The sequence below is a fragment of the Homo sapiens genome, chromosome 5 (genome assembly GCF_000001405.40).
Source record: "Homo sapiens chromosome 5, GRCh38.p14 Primary Assembly".
In the NCBI taxonomy this organism is placed as follows: domain Eukaryota; kingdom Metazoa; phylum Chordata; class Mammalia; order Primates; family Hominidae; genus Homo; species Homo sapiens.
Window position 1 is genome coordinate 15,257,197 of NC_000005.10, and position 23,104 is coordinate 15,280,300.

The 23,104-nt window shown below is 40.0% G+C and overlaps 1 long non-coding RNA gene across 1 annotated transcript in view, besides 1 other annotated feature; it reads right to left on the bottom strand.

The window, feature by feature from the left end:
* Positions 1-9,364, bottom strand: part of LINC02149 (long intergenic non-protein coding RNA 2149) — a 74,915-nt gene extending 65,551 nt beyond the window's left edge. Inside the window, exon 1 of the long non-coding RNA NR_109944.1 lies at positions 9,218-9,364. This is a non-coding gene — a long non-coding RNA (long intergenic non-protein coding RNA 2149). The remainder of the gene's footprint in view (positions 1-9,217) is intronic.
* Positions 14,448-15,033: an enhancer, noted in NCBI's record as "OCT4-NANOG-H3K4me1 hESC enhancer chr5:15271753-15272338 (GRCh37/hg19 assembly coordinates)". NCBI's record gives its function as "activates a minimal SCP1, AML or CMV promoter by ChIP-STARR-seq in naive H9 embryonic stem cells {active_cell/tissue: H9 hESC(naive)}" and the evidence as "EXISTENCE:reporter gene assay evidence [ECO:0000049][PMID:30033119]".

The following is a 23,104-nucleotide window of genomic DNA, read 5'->3' on the forward strand; positions in this document are numbered from 1 at the left end:
GGACACTATGCACCTTGGAAAGTGGATAAATAGATACAGATATCCACGTTATTGACCCTTTTCATTTTGTCTGTAATACATTCAAAATTCCCAGGGCTACACTGCATTGTCTTCAGATATAATAAATTCTACTTTGAACGTGAAACGTACAACTCTCACATATTGGCAGAAAATTGTCTCTTGACATGCTTATATGCCATAGAATCTGAAATGTTTTCGAGATGAGAGAAAATTTGATATTGTCCATGTCAACATGGTATGGACTGTGCTTTATAAGAAACTGAAATCCAGTTTCTATTAGGTTTACATACATCATTCCACCCTTGGGGAAAGAAATATGTATAGTAAACCTATGATCAGAGCTGTTGAGAACTGACAGGTCTTATTTAATTTGTTTTAAAATCTGAAGGCATACTATATTTCTAAAGAGCCTGAGGCATCCACATTGTAAAAGTTGAGCAGCTAACCTGCAAAACAGATTAATATGTATGACTGGAATTTAGCATTCCATATTTTATTCATACTTCACTCTTCGATGTATTGTGGAAGGCTGGTAATATTATTTTAGGTCTCACTTTTTTTTCATGGAAGTGGGGATAACAGAGGGCAGGATATGGATGTGTAAGGCTGATGGTGTCCTCCACAAGAAGAAATTTAGAAAACAAAACCTTTTGACTGCATATGCTCTGGAACTGACCTACACAGCTTGGTTTCCTAAGCCTTGAAAAAAATTGAATTCAGGAAGATCAGGATCCTAATGTCTACGAAATGATGACTACATAGATAAGAAACGGCATCTACATGGTCGAAGGGATAAGTATAATCAGGCACTATCACATTGATATCTTTTCTTGGTCAGTTCTGAGAAAAGCTGTTAAAAATGAATAACTGCTTGTGACATACGAACAGGAGTACATCCACCGTCAGTGTTTTACACAAAAAGAATAAATAGTGCTATAAGGGAGAGAGTTCTTTGGCTCATTCAATGCCTTTGGACATTGTTGAACATGAGTAGACCTTTGTGAAAATCCAAAATTCCATGGACAATTAAGATTCCAAGATGGTTATTCAAACTATCCAGAAAAAGCTTCCCCTGGTCAGTTCAGCAATAATTAAGTATATATATAAAGATCTTTGGCAGAAAATCTTTATTGGATTATGAAATTAAAATGACAGGTCTGGATAGCTAAGCCTACCCAGACTCATTGTTGCCTAGGCTGGAGTGCAATGATGTGATCTTGGCTCACTGCAACCTCCGCCTCCCAGGTTCAAGCAATTCTCCTGTCTCAGCCTCCCAAGTAGCTGGGATTACAGGCATGCTCCGCCACACCCGGCTAATTTCGTATTTTTAGTAGAGATGGGGTTTGTCCATGTTAGTCAGGCTGGTCTTGAACTCCCGACCTCAAGTGATCCACCCGCCTCAGACTCCCAAAGTACTGGGATTATAAGCATGAGCCACCATGCCTGGCCTTGTCTCTTCCCAGTCTTTATGAGCATGAGTCTAAAGCTTTGAGAGTAACTCTTTAACAGAGAAGCCCCTCTAAGGTTTGTGACCCTTCCTGCTGAAAAGGTTACAAAGTTCCTCTCCTTAGGCTATGATATCTGTCCAGAACAGAGTATTTGGTACTTCTGGAATGATGGGGTTACAGAGAAAGCCCTGTTGCATAGAATGCTCTGTGTTTCCTGTACTGCTTCCTTTTCCTGGGAATACAGGAAGACCACATTCTCCTAAACCTCTTGCTGTGTAGTTGGGGCAATGAAACTGGCCACTGTCACATGCATGTAAGTGATGTTTGCTACTTCCATATGTGGTGCTTTAAAACATCCCAGGGGAGCAGTGTGAATCCCTGAATTACCCACCCAGAGCTGCCCAAACTTCATTACATTTTGTGAGAGTAAAAACTAGACTTTTTTTTTGGTATTATGTCACTGGTTTGTAGGTTTATCTGTTGCAATAACTAGTATTAATTACCCTGAGTAATAAACTCAGAAAACAATCAAATAAGCTGGCAGTTAAGTACTTTCATTAAATTTTGTCCCATTAAATATTTTCATATTGGTCGATCTCATTAATAATGGAGCAAAAGTGTCCACAGGCCCCTCATACACTTACCAATAGTCTAGGAATGTCGTATCACATGGAAACAAGCATTAATAGTCTGAATAAACATGTCAAAGGGTGATGGGCTGTTATTTTGTTTACCTTAATGAAAATCTTATTCACAGACATTTATTTCAGTGTGGCTTAGATTCTTTTAGTCCATTGGCCTCAGGGCTTTTAAAAATGTACATTATAGGTTGAGTTCTGGGACTTCTGTCCCAGAGAAATGAGACTGTTGTGCAATTCAGGCAAGAATACTTAATTTTAAGTATTTACGGCTACTTAGTGTTTACTACCAGTGCTTTCTCAGATCTGTCTCGTGCCTCCATATCAATCCACGTCAGCCCCACATAGAACCAAGCTATGTTACATTTCTGTTGAGTGATAGAAAAATGTAATTTGAGTCACAGAGGTATTCAAATATATGGATAATTTTCCTGCAGGATAAATAGACACTCTTGGGGACACTGGTTCCATTGGTTCCTACATTCAAATGACACCGTTTGAATGTAGGAACCGATGGATATGTCTGTCCAGCTGATGAGGTGAGGGAGGGAGTGGGCCATGTGGAATCAGCAATGGCCTTGGGACTGGAAAGTCTGCTGCCAAGTTCTTACCTGGCAACTACTGTTATGTGACCTTAATATTTATCAGGAATAACTTAGTGTTTGAGAAAGTCAGTGTTCTGATTTGTAAAATGGGGATAATAATATCTGGCCAGCTTCCTTCACGTGATTGCTTTAAATTGTAAATAAGTTAATATACGTGAGTGTGTTTGGCAAAATTTATACCAGCCTATTCTTCTGGTTAATTTAGGATTATTAGTTAGCAGTCTTGAGCCAAAGCTGGAAAAGCACAAATGTGCATGCCATTCACTTTTTGAATAGAGACATCGTGAAGGAGCTATAAGAAGGGAGCAACTCACACCCCATTCATCCACAATTGCTCAGTGTTTAGAGTTAAGAGGTTGAAGATCCCTCGCCTGCAGAACTTCGGCAATGGACTCCTATGGATATGCTAACGTCAGAGAATAAAACAATATTTTCGCATCTAGATTAGTTAGCCCTTTATGATTAAGAAAATAGGCAGACTTCACTGGAGGGGCTTTTAAATAGGGGGAGAAAAAGCATCCCAGATACAGACAGAAATCATGTGACACAGATCATAAAATTTCTCCTGAGCTGTATTTAATTAGAAATTGCTGGAACTATTTGGCATGCAAACAGCTGCTGTCAGATCTGCACAGCATTTCCCAGCCTTGGAACAGCTGTATATAGTTTTTCTTTCTCTTTCCAACTAGACCTATGTAGAAAACCTGTTATGTTCTGGCAGGAGTTTGGAGTTATTCTCATGAGCTAATCAGATCAGCTTAGACAATACATGAAAAAGATTTGAGTGTTTTATATTTAAACAATCCTTTATCCTTATTTTGTTGAAACTTTCTCAGAATGTTTTCAGTGTGAGCTCGTGAATTTTTTTGAAGGGAAAATATTTCAAAGCACCCTGGAAGCTCTAGCAGTATTGCAGAGGGTCTGTTACACTTTGAGCTGGTACAATTTTAGTGCCGTTAAACTCATGTGAGCTGGAGGCACTCTTTAGCTCAGGCTTTTGGAATGTGCTACTAATTATAATGAGGTGAAGGGGTGAGGGATCTTTGAATTTTGTTCTAAAAGGATAGGATAGACAATGCTTCTCATCTTGAACAGTCACCATGCAAATTAATTGTGGTGGTCACAAGGACGAGAAGAGGGTGAATATTTCTGTGTGGTCATCCCCACTGCCAGGGGAAACATTAATTTCAAACACATGCTTCACTGGTGATTAATAGTATTATATAGCCACGCCCAAGGGAGTACAGGGTGTGTGTATGTGTGTGCGAATGTGCACACGTGTGTGCATGCGTGCATGCACACACATAAAAGCTGTTCTGAAGAGTTCATGGGACTTTAAGATCTGCTATGGGAGTGGTTCCTACTAGGGAAATTAAATCCTTTCCCCCAAAAGCAACTCTAACAGTGGACAAAATGGTCAAAAACAACCATTTCACAGCACTCTAGAATCTGATCAAAAGCATGCAACTTACTGAGAAGGGCTTATTCATGAGAACTACTGGATCTTGGTTAAGAACAGAATGAACCTGTGGCTCTATTCCCAGGGGCTATTTCTAGCCTCCCAACTCTGTCACTGTAGTAGCTCAACCAGGGCAGGCAGAACATTCATAAAACCATCCAGCTTAACTGTTCCTGCAGAAATGGTGTCTTCATCCTTTCAGGCTGCTGTAATAGGCTAGGAGGTTTATAAACAATTTATTTATTGAGAACTTTATTTCTCATAGTTCTGGAGGCTGAGAAGATCAAGGACAAGGCACTGACAGATTCAGTGTCTTGTGAGGGCACACTTCCTGGTTCAGGGCCCTGAGGGTCCACTTATTGGCAAAGAGGTTCATTTAATTAGGAGCATTGCCAGTTAAAGGGGCAACTTGGTGGTAAGTGAACAGGGAGGGCCAGCAGCTCTGTTTGCCTGAGATTGTGAACCCATTTGGGGCAAACAGTATTCAGAAGAACAGGCAGAGAGTTGGCAGAGATTTCTAGGATGTAAGAGAGCTTTAAAGGCTTGCTAAGCTCTGCTCTATGCTGGATTCTGCAAGCCATGTACATGCACAGCAGAGATCAAAGCAGCTCATGCCACCATGACACACATCCTTGGCAGATGCATCCTGAATACAGGGGTGCAGGGTAGATGGGAGGGAGCCAATCATTGGCCCCTTCATTGAAGATTCTTCTATGCACCACTAAAAACTTTGGACTCAATCCAACAGCAGTGAAATGTCACTTGGATTTTGAAAGAATAATTCTAGTAGCCATGTGAAATGGGGAGAAGATGAGAAACTAAAATTGTATTCCTCAAACTGTGATGCCTTGTCCTAGAATAATAAAACTGTATCAGGATCATCTAGAGAGCCTACCGAAATGCAAATTCCTGCATTCCAGTTCAGACTTACTGAATTAGAAGCATAATTCAGCAGTTCAGGGATAGGGCCCAGAAATGGACAATTTTTACAAACATGGCAGGTGATTGTGAGGCATCCTAGGCCAGAAGGTTAAAAACCAGGGAATTGAAAGGCAGAATGTTGGTCCAGGTGATGGAGGAGTTTGAAATTAGGAAGAAAAAAAGAATTGAAGTTTTTGAGCACAGAGGAAATATCATAGTAGTTAAGTCGTTCTAACTGTAACGTGCAAAATATTTACACCTTTTGGCAGCTGCAGCTTCCATTTTGAGTGATAAAATATCATAGCTTATTTCGATGCAATTATGAATTATATATGTACCACACTAATTCCAATTTACAGTATATGGTCACTAAATTTAAAAATAAGAAGAAATTGTAATTACTAATCACTAACAATGTGACTATAATTTATCATACAAACAAAGGTACTTTCAGAGTTAAAAGGCAATGCTCAAGTAATTTTAATAATATGACTTTTTGAAGGATTTATGTACTGGGCTACACATTAATTTCATTATACTAGTGGACCTATACATTCACAAAAATATTTTAACAAACAGAAATATACAAAGAATAAAGTAACATATAGTCATGTGAATTATATATGTTAAAGAAAACCTTCTTTAAACTACTTACCCAAAGATTTAAAATAGTCTTTGGTTATTCCTGGAATATACCATAACTCAATCAGTTTTAAAGCATTCTGTAATACCATGTTACTGGTATTTTTCTGAATTTTTAAATTTCAATATAGTCTTATTTTTCTGTAAAATTACATGTCATCTTATTTGAGGCTATATTTTATATGACATTATACAACATTTATATGATAAATATATAAATGTTGACACAATCAATTAACATTTCTTTGTATGGCATAATATTGTTAGTTTAGAAAACTCTCTCTCTTCAGGTGTTAGGGTATTTGGTAATTCAGACAAAATTGCTAAAAGTGAGACTTATCAATTAAAACTTTTTTCATAGTGAAGTATGTAAATATTTAAGCCCCAATATTTTCATAAGTACTGTTTTCTTCCATTGAAAACTTTTTTTTCTTAAAAGGTATTTTTACAAGACAAAACATGTCAGATAAATTTTCTGCATTATTATTTTGAATGTTTCACTATATACAGATGCTTCAAAATCATAGACCTTCTGAATTTTACTCCATTTTGATGGAGAATATATATTTATTCAACCAGAAATAGGAGCTCCATCAAAACATGAAAATTTTAAAATCAAATTATGCTGACATGCAACTACAGAGGATCAAAATTAAACCACTGCAGGTGGTGACGTCAGCAAGAAGTAGAACAGGAGGTCCAAGCCCTTGTCTCCTCATAGAAACACTGATAAAAACAATGATATTTTGGCCACGATACATGTATTTGAGCCAAAATGCCTGTATGTGAATTTTAGAATCCAATTAAGAAGTTGCATACCTCAGGTGGGCATAAAACTAAGAAAAAACACCTTAAAACAGTTAATAAGAACAGTTTCACTTCAACTGTGTCAGAACCCTCCCCCAAGCTGGCACAGCTCATTATTGAGGAAGATTCATTCAGCCTGCAATTTCTTCCTTGAGAGAGTGAGTGAGTGAAGTGTGCTTTTGATATCCCTAGCATTTTGGGGTGTTCCCCGAGAGATTTACCCCTGTCTCCCTCACTCAGAGTGTTGAAGCAACCTTCCTAGTTAGAACAGCTGGGGCACCTAACCACAGAGCAAAGGGGCAGGAGCTGTCAGCAGCCTGCATGGCATTGCAGAATTTGAAGAAGGTGCACAATCCTGAGACTTCTCCTTCAGAAGGAATGCAGAGAAGTGAAGCTTGCACTTTACCTCCCAGCACTCCAGCAGTCTGACTTAAGGCCAAGGGGCAGGCAGCTCTTAGCAGTGTGCCATACATTGCAGGATTAAGAGAGGGTACACAATGTAGAGACTTCTTCTTTAAGAGAAAGAGAGAGAGGGAAATGAAGTTTGTACCTAATGTCCATGCATTTCAGTGTACTCCCCTAGTGGTTCTCAGAAGCTGCCTAGGCTCTGTGGGAGGGAGAAAAGGCACATAATGCTGAACCTTCTCTCTCAGGAAGGATGAAGAGGAGTGGAGCATGTACTTCCATGAAAAAATTTGAGAGGCTCCAAGAATCTTTAGCTAGGCTGATTGGTGCAAGTCTTTCCTTGATTAAACCAGTCTGTAAAGACTTGAAGAGGCGGCTGCTTCTTCAAATGCACAACACCAAGACAAAACTAGAAGGAACACAAAGCATCAGGGAAATATGACACTACCAAAGGAACAAAATAAATCTCATGTAACTGACCTTAAAGAAATGTAAATCTACAAATTTCCTGACAAAGGACTCAAAATATCCTAAAGAAACTCAGTGAGTTACAAGAGAACTCAGATGGATAATTAAAATCTGAAAAACGATACCTGAACAAAATTATAATATCAACAAGGAGAAATTATTAAAAAGTACCAAACAAAAATTCTGAAGCAGAAAAATACAATAACTAAATTTTAAAAATTCACTTGAGAACATCAACAGCAAATTTTATCAGAAGAAAGAATCACTGGGCTCAAAATCAGGTCATTTTAAATGACCCAGTTAGAGGAGCAAAAAGACAAAAGAATAAAACAGAGTTAAGAAAGCCTATGGAGCTTATGGAGCATAATAAAGTGAACTAATATGTGCATCATGGTGATTCCAGAAGGAGACGAGTGACAGAAAGGACCATATGAGTTATTCAAAGAAATAACAGTGAAAACTTCCTAAATCTAGGGGAGGGAAATGGAAATCCAGACTCCATGTAACCTATAGTATTCCAAACGGGATGAATTTAAAGAAGTCTACAACGATACAATGTAATCACTATATACCTATTATCCTGACAGCCATACACATTAGCATTTGCCCTAAGTTTTATATTTTAATTAACTTAATATTTTTAATTTTATATTTTAATTAAAATGTATTTATATATATACATATGTGTATGTATATATACACACATATATATACATATGTGTATGTATATATACACACATATATATACATATGTGTATGTATATATACACACATATATATACATATGTGTATGTATATATACACACATATATATACATATGTGTATGTATATATACACACATATATATACATATATACACACATATATATACACACATATACATATATATATACACACACACACATATATATAGGGCAAGTGCTAATGTGTATGGGTGTCAGGATAATAGGTATATAGTGAATGCAGGGAAAGAAAGATCTATGATCACATTGTATGTAAGTTGGGCACTATTCTTAATAGCTAAGAAGAATATCCATTTTACAACTGAAAATTAAGCCATGGGAAGTGTTGAGAGCAAAGGGTAAGAAACTCAACCAAGTTTCTGCATCCAGTAAGAAGAACCTATAAGTTTTATCCTAGAGCTAATGTTGTAAATCACGGTAGAATTTTACCTCTTATTTAAAGGATAACTTTTAATATGTAACAGAATACATTTTGATAAATGGCCACAATACTATTTCCCATCCATTTGCTCTTTTTATGTGTTTTGGAAACTCCTCCCATTGAGAGATGGTATCTCTGTTCCCTCCACTTGTATATGGGCAGACTTGCGATTGACAGCAAAAGTGACAGTATGTGATTTCCAGGTCATAAAAAATACATCTTCAGCCTGATTCTCTTGAGATTCTCTCGCTTGGAATTCTCTCTTTTGAAGCCCAGGCACGGTATTGTGAGGAGGTGCAAGGGTGCCCCATGGAGAGGCCCGTATGGAAAGGAACTCACAGCACCAACTTGCCAGCCAGGTGAGTGAGCTATTTAGGTGAAGTCATTCAGCGCCAGGTGAGCCACCTGGATAACATTGCATAGGGCACTGTTGTCTCCATATTTGTCATGAAAATAAGTAAGTGATATTTTCAGCTTTTAAATTACAGGGTTGCTTCTTATGTAACAATAATGAACAGGAATAGGATGACTCTCTGTTTCTAAAGTCAAGTAATTGGCTCTATTCCTTCTTTTCCCTCTAGAAATGACATTTTCTGGCAGTTTGGTATGGTAGTTGGAAGAAAAGCAAGGGCTGTCACCTGATGGAGTATGTTTGGAATGTGTGATCCTCTTCCACTGAAGAGTGCATTGTAGGGTCTGACAGCAGAGTTCCTCTCACTCAATCATGTGAGGCCTGAGTCCAGGGATTTGGTGTCTTCCCCTTGTCCAGGGACTTGGTGTTTTCCCCGTAAGGCCTCTCCCAAAAGGTTAATACTGAAATGAAGGCCATAATCAGGTTATTAATTTAAGGCATTAAAACAGTATTTTTCAACTCTGTCACACATTTGACTCACCTGGGGAGATTTAAAAAGTGCTGATGACTGGATGCTGCTCCCATACCCAAATGATTCTGATTTAATTGGTTTTGGGTGGGGTCTGGGGGTTATGATGCTTTAAAACTTCCCCAGGTGATTATAATGTGCACCCATGTGTAAGGACCACTTGTTTAGCGCTTAAAAAGAGGATTCTACAATGAGCAAAAGAGGAAATAAGGATTAATTGATGGAGATGAAAGAAAAGTGCCTGGAGACTTTGCAGAGTAGTAGAATCCTCCCTAGGCATGGAGCAGACACATCTGACAGCAATAACTTAACTGAAGCATACCCTGAGAGTGGCCCTGTGGTCTAAGAAGACTGTGTGTTCAGAGTTCCCAGCTAAGGAATCTGGGAGTAGCCAACCCAGAGTTTCATTCCTTATCTATGAGGAGCATCTGAATCCCTAGCTCATCTTGTGAAATGCAGGCTGTACAGGGGATCTAGGCCTGTTGTTGGGGTTAAATGAAAGTGGCCAGGCGGAGGTTGCTAGGGGGAGGGTGCTAAGTGAAAATGCTGTATAAATTACATGCTTTTTACAAGTGGTTGTGGTTCTCCTGTCCAGCCTGCCGCCACTGAACTGCCCTGTATGTAAGTCTCCTCAATGAACCCTATGTCTTCTTTGTTGGCTCCAGGTCTCTTCTTCATCCTCTAGAAGGTGGTACCATCTCTAACGAAGTTAATAGGGGTCTAGCATGACAACAAGCAAGGCAGCAGGGCCTGGTGTCTATTTGTGTGGTTCCAGTTGGTTTTCTGCAATGTCCCTGTGGTAATCATTGGGACACCTCCCCTAAATCCAGTTATCCTCTCCTTCTGAGCTTATAAAGATTGAATTTGGGGCCCTGTTATGCTTTAGTGGGGCCATGATACTAGTACTGGCCAATGGGGTGAGAACTGGAGCATTTATTTGCAAGTTTTGCATCCTCCAGAATGTTTTTTTTCCTTTCTGGCATGAACATAAGCAACATTTGAAATGTGGCTGTTCCATCAGCATGGATCACAAGCCATTATGCAGAATCAAAAATGACTACCAACCTCTGTTATTTATACAGTGTGAAGGAGAAATAAATCTTTGCTTCAGGCTACTAAGATTTTGGAATTGTTTGTTACTGAAGCATAACCCATAATATACTGACTAATACAGAATGCGAGCAAAATGAGCATGCATTTTTCTACAGAGAATGAAGAAGCAGAATTCCTATCCTTCTGCAGTCAAGTTATGCCCAGGATTCCTTTAAGGAAAACAAGAGAACAGAAAAAAGACAGAATTTTCAGTTCATGCTTCATGAATTAAAGCAACATGCTTTAGCTTGAAGTCAGAGAACTGAGTATTTTATTTAGAAACCAGTATTTGGATCCTGGCAGTTTTCCCCTAAGGGTAAATTGGATACTATGCCAAGTTCACACTCATGGAATTAATTGACTGCTCTACTTTCAACATAAGGTATCAAAGCTTTCCACATTAGTGACCCATGTAAAACAAACCTTACCACATGGTCTGTGGTTTTCAAGAAGTCTTCTATTAAATGAACTACTCAATATAAGTTTACTGCAGGGGGTGGGAGGAAACGGAAAAATACATGCACACTTAGAATGGGCCTTTGTGTGTTTTCTTTCGTCTAATTTTATATCCAAGGGCATTTTTTCAAAACTTTTTGGTATTCAAAAGTCAACATTATTGGCAGAATTTATTTTAGTCACAGGCTTATTCCTAGAGCTGGAACACAGAAGAAACTAGTTCTTTTAAAAATAAAGCCTACATGTAGAATCCCCATTGTTTGTGCATTTTTGATCAGTTTACTGAACTTTTGATGGCTCTCTTTGCCATGTAAATGCTTAAGGTTGCCTTCAGGCCCAGCCTGCTTCGTAAAGATTCATTCTGTATCTATTTCCTGTTCAGTTATTTTCTGGGGTCCTCTCTTTCAGGACTGCCTTTGGAGAAGCTTCACATTCATTCCTGAAGGCAGATGCACATCTATGGCAGAATATCTTGTGGTGTTTACATCTGCATTTTCTACCCAATATTTCCTTTTTTTTCCCTTTTACATTAAAGAAGGCTCACGGACAGGACTAAGAGCAGGAAAAACCTATGATCTCTGACATTTAGTGGTTAAGTAAACAAGAGGGGTATGGTGTTCAGACAAAATGTTTGACCAGAAGCAGGAGGGAAAATGAAGCTTCCCTGTAAACCTACAAAACTACAAAAGATGTCCCTGGTTGGAGGAAAGAAGAAAAGAGGAGACTTTTAAAATATAGTGAATTAATAGAAAATTTGAGGTCTAGTAATGGCAACAGATCAGGAGATGATTTTTGTTGAAAAGACAGTTCATTATTCATAGTTTTTCCCAAAGGGAAGTAGGGGGCCCAAACAGGGCAGGGTTGATCAGGGGGCAGAGAGATGGTGGGGAATGGGGCAAGAGGTTTTATTATGGTTTCTAATGAAGAAACAGGCTAAGCAGGGTAAGCTGGTTTAGGATGGCTAGTTTGAATAATTTTAGCAGGCTCTGGGGCATAAGGGTTGTCTCTGGTGGTCCAGCACTTGGCTCTGGGGTGACTAGGACCAGTGGATAGTGGTCCAGAGTATAAGAGGCCAGCCCAGTAAAAAATGTGGTTGAGGTATGGGCTCCTTATTGGTTGATTTGTATTTCACAAAGCCCACCTATGGGCAAGTTACTTACTGTCTGTAGTTATTGGCTAACCCTGGGAGGATCAGGGCTAGCAGGACCCCAGATATGGCAGCATCAGATACAAAAAATAAAAGCCATTGTTATTACAAGAAGGGTTTTTCTCTCTAATTTTTTATATCAATAAGACCTAACACAGATATGCAAAGCCCCAGAGCAGAAAGAGCTGCATTAGTTACGTATTGCTGTGTCAAAAATTACCCCACGACTTAGCAACTCAAACCAACAAAGACTTATGATATCACAGTTTTAGTGGGTCAGGATCTAAATTTGCTTTAACTGGATCCTTTGCTCAGGGCCTCTTACAAAGCCTCTATCAAGATGTTGGTCATGGCTGCAGTCATCTCGCACCTTGGCTGGCGGATGATCTGCCACCAAGCTCATTCACGTGATCACTAGAAAGGTTCAGCTCCCTTGGGCTGTTGGATTGAGGGTTCCTTTCTTGCCATGTGGGTGTCTCCCTAGGTCAGCTCACAACATAGCTGCTGGTTTCCATCAGTGAGCAAGCAAGAGAGCAAGAGAGGGAGAGCAAGATGGAAGTCAGCATTTTCTGTAACCTAACGTCAGAAGTGACAGCCCATCACTTTTGCTGTATCATGTCTGTTAGAAGTATCAGTAGATCCTTCCCACAGGCAAGGAGAGCATGGATACCAGGTTGCCTCCCACATGGACTAGGGTTTAATTTCTTGGCATTGTATCAGGGAAGCATAGATCCCATGCAGCCTCTCTGCATCAGGACATAAACAAACTTGGAAAGATGCCACTACCCAAGCATAGGACACAAAGTCCCAGTCCCCAGGTCTGATTGCCCACACAAGCCAAAATTATGGATATTTCAGAGAACATCTGAGTGACTTAATAATTAGACCCCTCTTCCTTCCTCCCAAAATATGTCAACCTCTTGAAACTTTGAGATGACATGAGGACTGAAGAGGTGATTCACTAAGGTGACCAAATGTGGACACCAGGACACATTTGAGAGTACTTACAATGATATGGTTTGGCTGTATTCCCACCCAAATCACATCTTGAATTGTAGCTCCCATAATCCCCATGTGTCATGGGAGGGATCTGGTGGGAGTTAATCGAATAATGGGGGCAGGTTTTTCCTGTGCTGTTCTCATGATAGTGAATAAGTCTCAGGAGATCTGATGGTTTTATAAAGGGTAGTTCCCTGCACAAGCTCTCTTGCCTGCCACCACGTAAGATGTGGAGCCTTTGCTCCTCCTTCACCTTCCGCCATGATTGTGAAGCCTGCCCAGTCATGTGGAACTGTGAGTCCATTAAACTTCTTTTTCTTTATAAATTACCCAGTCTTGGGTATTTCTTAATAGCAATATGAAAATGGATCAATACATATAATGATGCTAGGGTAAGCTAGGACTGTCCCAGGCAAACCAGGACCTAGGATCATCCCAGGACTAACCTGAAGGAAGATGAATTTTTTTCTGCCATCCTGCTAAGGGAGGTCCAAAATGGAAATTAAGTTGAGATGTAGAAAATAAAGTTCTGAACTGCAAGCATACCTGCCATGCAAGTCCTTCCCTTTGTAAGGGTTTCATTACTAATCCTTACTGGGAAATATTTGTTGGGAGAAGATGTTGAGGAAGTTGCAAATGTGCCAGTATCACATTTGATCACATTAATCACAATAATCACACTTGATCATCCCAGCCATGGTCTGTAGTCCTACTCCCTTGCCAGATAATATATTTATATCCACCATGCCTGAGTGTGTAGTCATCCCACTCCTTTCTCACTCTAGCTCTGCAGTCCCTAGGTTATACAAATGCTTCTTAAGGTAGAGTCAGGTCAGATCAGGACCATTGAGGAGTCTGCATACCCTCCCAGCCATATAGGCAGTGTAGTTGTATCAGGCAGAAAGCTTTGGTTCTCCTTGCTGGTTAGCACTGCTAGCACCAGAATCATGCTACAAATCCTTCTAAATTCTTTTCCTTAAGGAGAGGTATTTCGTCACCAGGTGCAAACAATGAGTTTATCACCATGCAGACAATAACATAACATCTTTCATAAATTTAGGAAGATGGCCGAATAGGAAGAGCTCCGGTCTACAGCTCCTAGCGTGAGCGATGCAGAAGACGGGTGATTTCTGCATTTCCATCTGAGGTACCGGGTTCATCTCACTAGGGAGTGCCAGACAGTGGGCGCAGGTCAGTGGGTGCGTGCACCGTGCGCGAGCCGAAGCAGGGCGAGGCATTGCCTCATTTGGGAAGCTCAAGGGGTCAGGGAGGTCCCTTTCCTAGTCAAAGAAAGGGGTGACAGATGGCACCTGGAAAATCGGGCCACTCCCACCCGAATACTGCGCTTTTCTGACTGGCTTAAAAAGCTGCACACCAGAAGATTATATCTCGCACCTGGCTCGCAGGGTCCTACGCCCACGGAGTCTCTCTGATTGCTAGCACAGCAGTCTGAGATCAAACAGTAAGGTGGCAGCGACGCTGGGGGAGGGGTGCCCACCATTGCCCAGGCTTGCTTAGGTAAACAAAGCAGCCTGGAAGCTCCAACTGGGTGGAGCCCACCACAGCTCAAGGATGCCTGCCTGCCTCTGTAGGCTCCACCTCTTGGGGGCAGGGCACAGACAAACAAAAAGACAGCAGTAACCTCTGCAGACTTAAATGTCCCTGTCTGACAGCTTTGAAGAGAGCAGTGGTTCTCCCAGCATGCAGCCGGAGATCTGAGAACGGGCAGACTGCCTCCTCAAGTGGGTCCCTGACCCCTGACCCCCGAGCAGCCTAACTGGGAGGCACCCCCCGGTAGGGACAGACTGACACCTCACATGGCCAGGTACTCCAACAGACCTGCAGCTGAGGGTCCCGTCTGTTGGAAAACTAACAAACAGAAAGAACATCCACACCAAAAACCCATCTGTACATCACCATCATCAAAGACCAAAAGTAGATAAAACCACAAAGATGGGGAAAAAACAGAGCAGAAAAACTGGAAACTCTAAAAAGCAGAGCGCCTCTCCTCCTCCAAAGGAACGCAGTTCCTCACCAGCAATGGAACAAAGCTGGACGGAGAATGACTTTGACGAGTTGAGAGAAGAAGGCTTCAGATGATCAAATTACTCTGAGCTACAGGAGGACATTCAAACCAAAGGCAAAGAAGTTGAAAACTTTGAAAAAAATTTAGAAGAATGTATAACTAGAATAACTAATAGAGAGAAGTGCTTAAAGGAGCTGATGGAGCTGAAAACCAAGGCTCGAGAACTACGTGAAGAATGCAGAAGCCTCGGGAGCCGATGCGATCAACTGGAAGAAAGGGTATCAGCGATGGAAGATGAAATGAATGAAATGAAGCGAGAAGGGAAGTTTAGAGAACAAAGAATAAAAAGAAATGAACAAAGCCTCCAAGAAATACGGGACTATGTGAAAAGACAAAATCTATGTCTGATTAGTGTACCTGAAAGTGACGGGGAGAATGGAACCAAGTTGGAAAACACTCTGCAGGATATTATCCAGGAGAACTTCCCCAATCTAGCAAGGCAGGCCAACATTCAGATTCAGGAAATACAGAGAACGCCGCAAAGATACTCCTTGAGAAGAGCAACTCCAAGACACATAATTGTCAGATTCACCAAAGTTGAAATGAAGGAAAAAATGTTAAGGGCAGCCAGAGAGAAAGGTCGGGTTACCCACAAAGGGAAGCCTATCAGACTAACAGCAGATCTCTTGGCAGAATCTCTACAAGCCAGAAGAGAGTGGGGGCCAATATTCAACATTCTTAAAGAAAAGAATTTTCAACCCAGAATTTCATATCCAGTCAAACTAAGCTTCATAAATGAAGGAGAAATAAAATACTTTACAGACAAGCAAATGCTGAGAGATTTTGTCACCACCAGGCCTGCCCTAAAAGAGCTCCTGAAGGAAGCACTAAACATGGAAAGGAACAACCAGTACCAGCCGCTGCAAAATCATACCAAAATGTAAAGACCATAGAGACTAGGAAGAAACTGCATCAACTAATGAGCAAAATAACCAGCTAACATCATAATGACAGGATCAGATTCACACATAACAATATTAACTTTAAATGTAAAGGGACTAAATGCTCCAATTAAAAGACACAGACTGGCAAATTGGATAAAGAGTCAAGAACCATCAGTGTGCTGTGTTCAGGAAACCCATCTCACATGCAGAGACACACATAGGCTCAAAATAAAAGGATGGAGGAAGATCTACCAAGCAAATGGAAAACAAAAAAAGGCAGGGGTTGCAATCCTAATCTCTGATAAAACAGACTTTAAAACAACAAAGATCAAAAGAGACAAAGAAGGCCATTACATAATGGTAAAGGGATCAATTCAACAAGAAGAGCTAACTATCCTAAATATATATGCACCCAATACAGGAGCACCCAGATTCATAAAGCAAGTCCTGAGTGACCTACAAAGAGACTTAGACTCCCACACATTAATAATGGGAGACTTTAACACCCCACTGTCAACATTAGACAGATCAACGAGACAGAAAGTCAACAAGGATACCCAGGAATTGAACTTAGCTCTGTACCAAGCAGACCTAATAGACATCTACAGAACTCTCCACCCCAAATCAACAGAATATACATTTTTTTCAGCACCACACCACACATATTCCAAAATTGACCACATACTTGGAAGTAAAGCTCTCCTCAGCAAATGTAAAACAACGGAAATTATAACAAACTATCTCTCAGACCACAGTGCAATCAAACTAGAAATCAGGATTAAGAATCTCACTCAAAACCGCTCAACTACATGGAAACTGAACAACCTGCTCCTGAGTGACTACTGGGTACATAACGAAATGAAGGCAGAAATAAAGATGTTCTTTGAAACCAACGAGAACAAAGACACAACATACCAGAATCTCTGGGACGCATTCAAAGCAGTATGTAGAGGGAAATTTATAGCACTAAATGCCCACAAGAGAAAGCAGGAAAGATCCAAAATTGACACCCTAACATCACAATTAAAAGAACTAGAAAAGCAAGAGCAAACACATTCAAAAGCTAGCAGAAGGCAAGAAATAACTAAAATCAGAGCAGAACTGAAGGAAATAGAGACACAAAAAACTCTTCAAAAAATTAATGAATCCAGGAGCTGGTGTTTTGAAGGATCAACAAAATTGATAGACCGCTGGCAAGACTAATAAAGAAAAAAAGAGAGAAGAATCAAATAGATGCAATAAAAAATGATAAAGGGGATATCACCACCAATCCCACAGAAATACAAACTACCATCAGAGAATACTACAAACACCTCTATGCAAATAAACTAGAAAATCTAGAAGAAATGGATAAATTCCTTGACACATACACTCTCCCAAGACTAAACCAGGAAGAAGTTGAATCTCTGAATAGACCAATAACAGGATCTGAAATTGTGGCAATAATCAATAGCTTACCAACCAAAAAGAGTCCAGGACCAGATGGATTCACAGCCGAATTCTACCAGAAGTACAAGGAGGAAGTGGTACCATTCCTTCTGAAACTATTCCAATCAATAGAAAAAGAGGGAATGCTCCCTAACTCATTTTATGAGGCCAGCATCATCGTGATACCAAAGCTGGGCAGAGACACAACCAAAAAAGAGAGTTTTAGACCAATATCCTTGATGAACATTGATGCAAAAATCCTCAATAAAATACTGGCAAACCGAATCCAGCAGCATATCAAAAAGCTTATCTACCATGATCAAGTGGGCTTCATCCCTGGGATGCAAGGCTGGTTCAATATACTCAAATCAGTAAATGTAATCCAGCATATAAACAGAACCAAAGACAAAAACCACATGATTATCTCAATAGATGCAGAAAAGGCCTTTGACAAAATTCAACAACCCTTCATGCTAAAAACTCTCAATAAATTAGGTATTGATGGGATGTATCTCAAAATAATAAGAGCTATCTATGACAAACCCACAACCAATATCATACTGAATGGGCAAAAACTGGAAGCATTCCCTTAGAAAACTGGCACAAGACAGGGATGCCCTCTCTCACCACTCCTATTCAACATAGTGTTGGAAGTTCTGGCCAGGGCAATTAGGCAGGAGAAGGAAATAAAGGGTATTCAATTAGGAAAAGAGGAAGTCAAATTGTCCCTGTTTGCAGACGACATGATTGTATATCTAGAAAACCCCATCATCTCAGCCCAAAATCTCCTTAAGCTGATAAGCAACTTCATCAAAGTCTCAGGATACAAAATCAATGTACAAAAATCACAAGCATTCTTATACACCAACAACAGACAAACAGCCAAATCATGAGTGAACTCCCATTCACAATTGCTTCAAAGAGAATAAAATACCTAGGAATCCAACTTGCAAGGGATTTGAAGGACCTCTTCAAGGAGAACTACAAACCACTGCTCAAGGAAATAAAAGAGGATACAAACAAATGGAAGAACATTTCATGCTCATGGGTAGGAAGAATCAATATCGTGAAAATGGCCATACTGCCCAAGGTAATTTACAGATTCAATGCCATCCCCATCAAGCTACCAATGACTTTCTTCACAGAATTGGAAAAAACTACTTTAAAGTTCACATGGAACCAAAAAAGAGCCCACATCACCAAGTCAATCCTAAGCCAAAAGAACAAAGCTGGAGGCATCACACTACCTGACTTCGAACTATACTACAAGGCTACAGTAACCAAAAGAGCATGGTACTGGTACCAAAACAGAGATATAGATCAATGGAACAGAACAGAGCCCTCAGAAATAACGCCGCATATCTGCAACTATCTGATCTTTGACAAACCTGAGAAAAACAAGCAATGGGGAAAGGATTCCCTATTTAATAAATGGTGCTGGGAAAACTGGCTAGCCATATGTAGAAAGCTGAAACTGGATCCCTTCCTTACACCTTATACAAAAATCAATTCAAGATGGATTAAAGACTTAAACGTTAGACCTAAAACCATAAAAACCCTAGAAGAAAACCTAGGCATTACCATTCAGGACATAGGCACAGGCAAGGACTTCATGTCTAAAACACCAAAAGCAATGGCAACAAAAGCCAAAATTGACAAGTGGGATCTAATTAAACTAAAGAGCTTCTGCACAGCAAAAGAAACTACCATCAGAGTGAACAGGCAACCTACAAAATGGGAGAAAATTTTTGCAACCTACTCATCTGACAAAGGGCTAATATCCAGAATCTACAATGAACTCAAACAAATTTACAAGAGAAAAACAAACAACCCCATCAAAAAGTGGGCAAAGGACATGAACAGACACTTCTCAAAAGAAGACATTTATGCAGCCAAAAAACACATGAAAAAATGCTCACCATCACTGGCCATCAGAGAAATGCAAATCAAAACCACAATGAGATACCATCTCACACCAGTTAGAATGGCAATCATTAAAAAGTCAGGAAACAACAGGTGCTGGAGAGGATGTGGAGAAATAGGAACACTTTTATACTGTTGGTGGGACTGTCAACTAGTTCAACTATTGTGGAAGTCAGTGTGGCCATTCCTCAGGCATCTAGAACTAGAAATACCATTTGACCCAGCCATCCCATTATTGGGTATATACCCAAAGGACTATAAATCATGCTGCTATAAAGACACATGCACACGTATGTTTATTGCAGCATTGTTCACAATAGCAAAGACTTGGAACCAACCCAAATGTCCAACAATGATAGACTGGATTAAGAAAATGTGGCACATATACACCATGGAATACTATGCAGCCATAAAAAATGATGAGTTCATGTCCTTTGTAGGGACATGGATGAAATTGGAAATCATCATTCTCAGTAAACTATTGCAAGAACAAAAAACCAAACACCGCATTTTCTCACTCATAGGTGGGAATTGAACAATGAGAACACTTGGACACAGGAAGGGGAATATCACACTCTGGGGACGGTTGTGGGGTGGGGGGAGGGGGGAGGGGGGAGGGATAGCATTGGGAGATATACCTAATGCTAGATGATCAGTTAGTGGGTGCAGCGCACCAACATGGCACATGTATACATATGTAACTAACCTGCACATTGTGCACATGTACCCTAAAACTTAAAGTATAATAATAATAAAAAAAGAGTAAAAAAAAAAAGAATTAAAAAAAAATCTTTCATTTGCATGTATGTATGTTTAAGACTTTTAAACTGTCCAGTCTATAAGAATGAGCAGATGGCGGGTTAAAGGTGAACACAGGTGTGTGCTTAATACAATTTGATGATTTCATTAGCAAATCATCTCAGCCATCACTCCCAGTACACTTCTTTGGGTAAGAAACAAATACTCGTGATTAATAGTGGTTTGACATGAAAATCCTTTTCAGGGACGTTCATGCTTACGGTTTGTAGATGTGAGACACTTGTATTTTGCACCAATATATATTTTTAAATCCAAGATGTGATATAAAATAAACTAACTTGTTGAAAATCCAAAGGATTTTTTAAATCTAGAGTTTATTCTTTTTTTTCTAATACCAGGAGGAATTAAAATCTCCATTAGTGTTTTTGCATATCTCAATTTTTTTTTTTTTTCTGAGATGGAGTCTCACCCTGTTGCCCAGGCTGGAGTGCAGTGGCACAATCTCGGCTCACTGCAAGCTCCGCCTCCTGGGTTCACACCATTCTTCTGTCTCAGCCTCCCGAGTAACTGGGACTACAGGTGCCCATGACCACACCCAGCTAATTTTTTGTATTTTTAGTAGAGATGGGGTTTCACTGTGTTAGCCAGGATGGTCTTGATCTCCTGACTTCGTGAGCTGCCCTCCTCGGCCTCCCAAAGTACTGGGATTACAGGCATGAGCCACCGCGCCCAGCCTGCATACCTCTTTTCTAATCTTCATTCTCACCAGGAAAGTCCCTGCATCTTCTATTGTTCCTTTTCATAAAGATAACATAGTGATAATATTTGCTGGGAGATTTGTGACTGTCCACTATGACAGATATTAATAGACTAGTTTTCTCAATTATTACTTTACTTTTATATTAAATCCCATTTCAGAGTTTCCTGCAGACATGCTTTTTACACAGCACTAAATCTGCAGAGTTTGTATAAGCCTGTGTCTTTGAACTCTTGACAATTCTGGAGATATTCAATATTTGCTATAAAGATCCTGAGAGGGGAATGATGCCAAGCATTTTTATGTATTTTTGAGTAGCAGAATTCATAGAGTTTGAGTGCATTTCTTTAAAAGAAATTAATTATCTCCTTTAGCTAGGATGTATAAAATATGGATATTCTGTTCAGTCTTTCATAAAATATTATAAATAGATAACATGTAAAGCATTATTTTCTGTGTCTGACTGAAGTTGGTGCCAGGAGTAGCTTCAGAAAACAGTCCTCAAAATGTGTTTCTGAGATTGAGTTGCTCATAATATTGGGTGAGGACTAGAATAACCTTGTTGTTGGGGGAAATAGGACACCGGTAATCCATGGCACGCAGTTCTACGGTAATAATTCAAATTATTACCAGTGGTAGCACGGGGTGAAATATACATGTGGGGTAGGACACTGGGAGATCAAGTGGCTGTGGCATTTAGGCACTATGGCAGCCATAGTAATTACAAAGGTTGCAGTCACACCTGGTATGACAGAATGGCATTGTTACATATCCCTTCACTAACCTGCCCCTCCCTCTGGGATGAAGTATATTTCCCATGCCCACTGACTTTGGACTTGGCCACATGTCTTGCTTTGGCCAATGGAAACTGAGCAAATGAGAGTTAAACAGAGATATTTCTATAGTTTGAATGTGTCCTCAAATTTTATGTGTTGAAAACTTAATCTCTAAAATCATATGTTGACTGGAGGTAGGGCCTGTAGGAGGTCATTACAATTAGATAATTAGGTAATTAGAATTAGTCACAAGGATGGGATCTCCATGATGGGACTGGCTTTATAAGAAGAAGGGAGACCTGAGCTGATATACATGCTTGTTCCCTCTCACCATGTGATGCCTTCTGCCACATTATGAAGCAGTAAGAAGGCCCTCACCAGAAGCCAAGCAGATGCAGATGTCATGGTCTTGGACTTCCCAGCCTCCAGGACTATGAACCAAAATAAACTACCTTTCCTTTAAAAATTACCCAGTCTGTTGTATTTTGTTATAGCAACAGGAAATAGACTAAGATAGGTATTAAACAAATTGTACAGTATAGCTCACATCTGCACCACCAAGATTACTATTAGAAGAGCTTGTCCCTGCTAGCTACTGATTCTTCAGCCTGGTTCTCAGCATAAGACAATTGGGACAGATATGAGCCTAAGCTAAGGCCAAACACAACTGAACTTCAGCCCAAACCAAAGTCACTTCAGCCAATCCTCAGACCTGTAGTTGACAAAAGTAAATGCTCTGTTATAAGCCATTGAGTTTGGGGCTGTGGATTGTTACAGGGCATTAGTTGACAACTGACTATCACACCTAACTTCTTCTTATTGCACTGCATATACAAAAAATATTTGCTTAAGAACATACATGGAGAACCAGAAGCCCCCAGTGATAGTTTTTAAGTAGTCTTTTATCTCCTGCAGACTCGGGGCAGATACAGTGAGCATCAAGCTATGGTTTGAATGCTTGTGTTCCCCCAACATTCATATGTTGGAATCTAAACCTCCAGGATGATGGCATTAGGAGATGGCATTTTCAGAAGGTGATTAGATCATGATGGCAAAGCCCTCATGAATGGGATTAATGACTTAATTCCACTTAAATAAGTGACCCCAGAGACCTCCCTTGCTCTTTCCACCATGTGAAGACACAGGGAGAAGCTGGCAGCTTGCAACCTGCAAGAGACCCCTTGCCAGAACCTAACCATGGTGGCATCCAGATTTTAAAGCATCTAGAACTATGAGAAATAAATTTCTGCTTTTTTGTAAGCTATTCAGTCTATGATACTTTCTTATAACAGTTCAATGGACTAGCAGTCTGACTGTAAGGGTTTCGGAGATGTAGG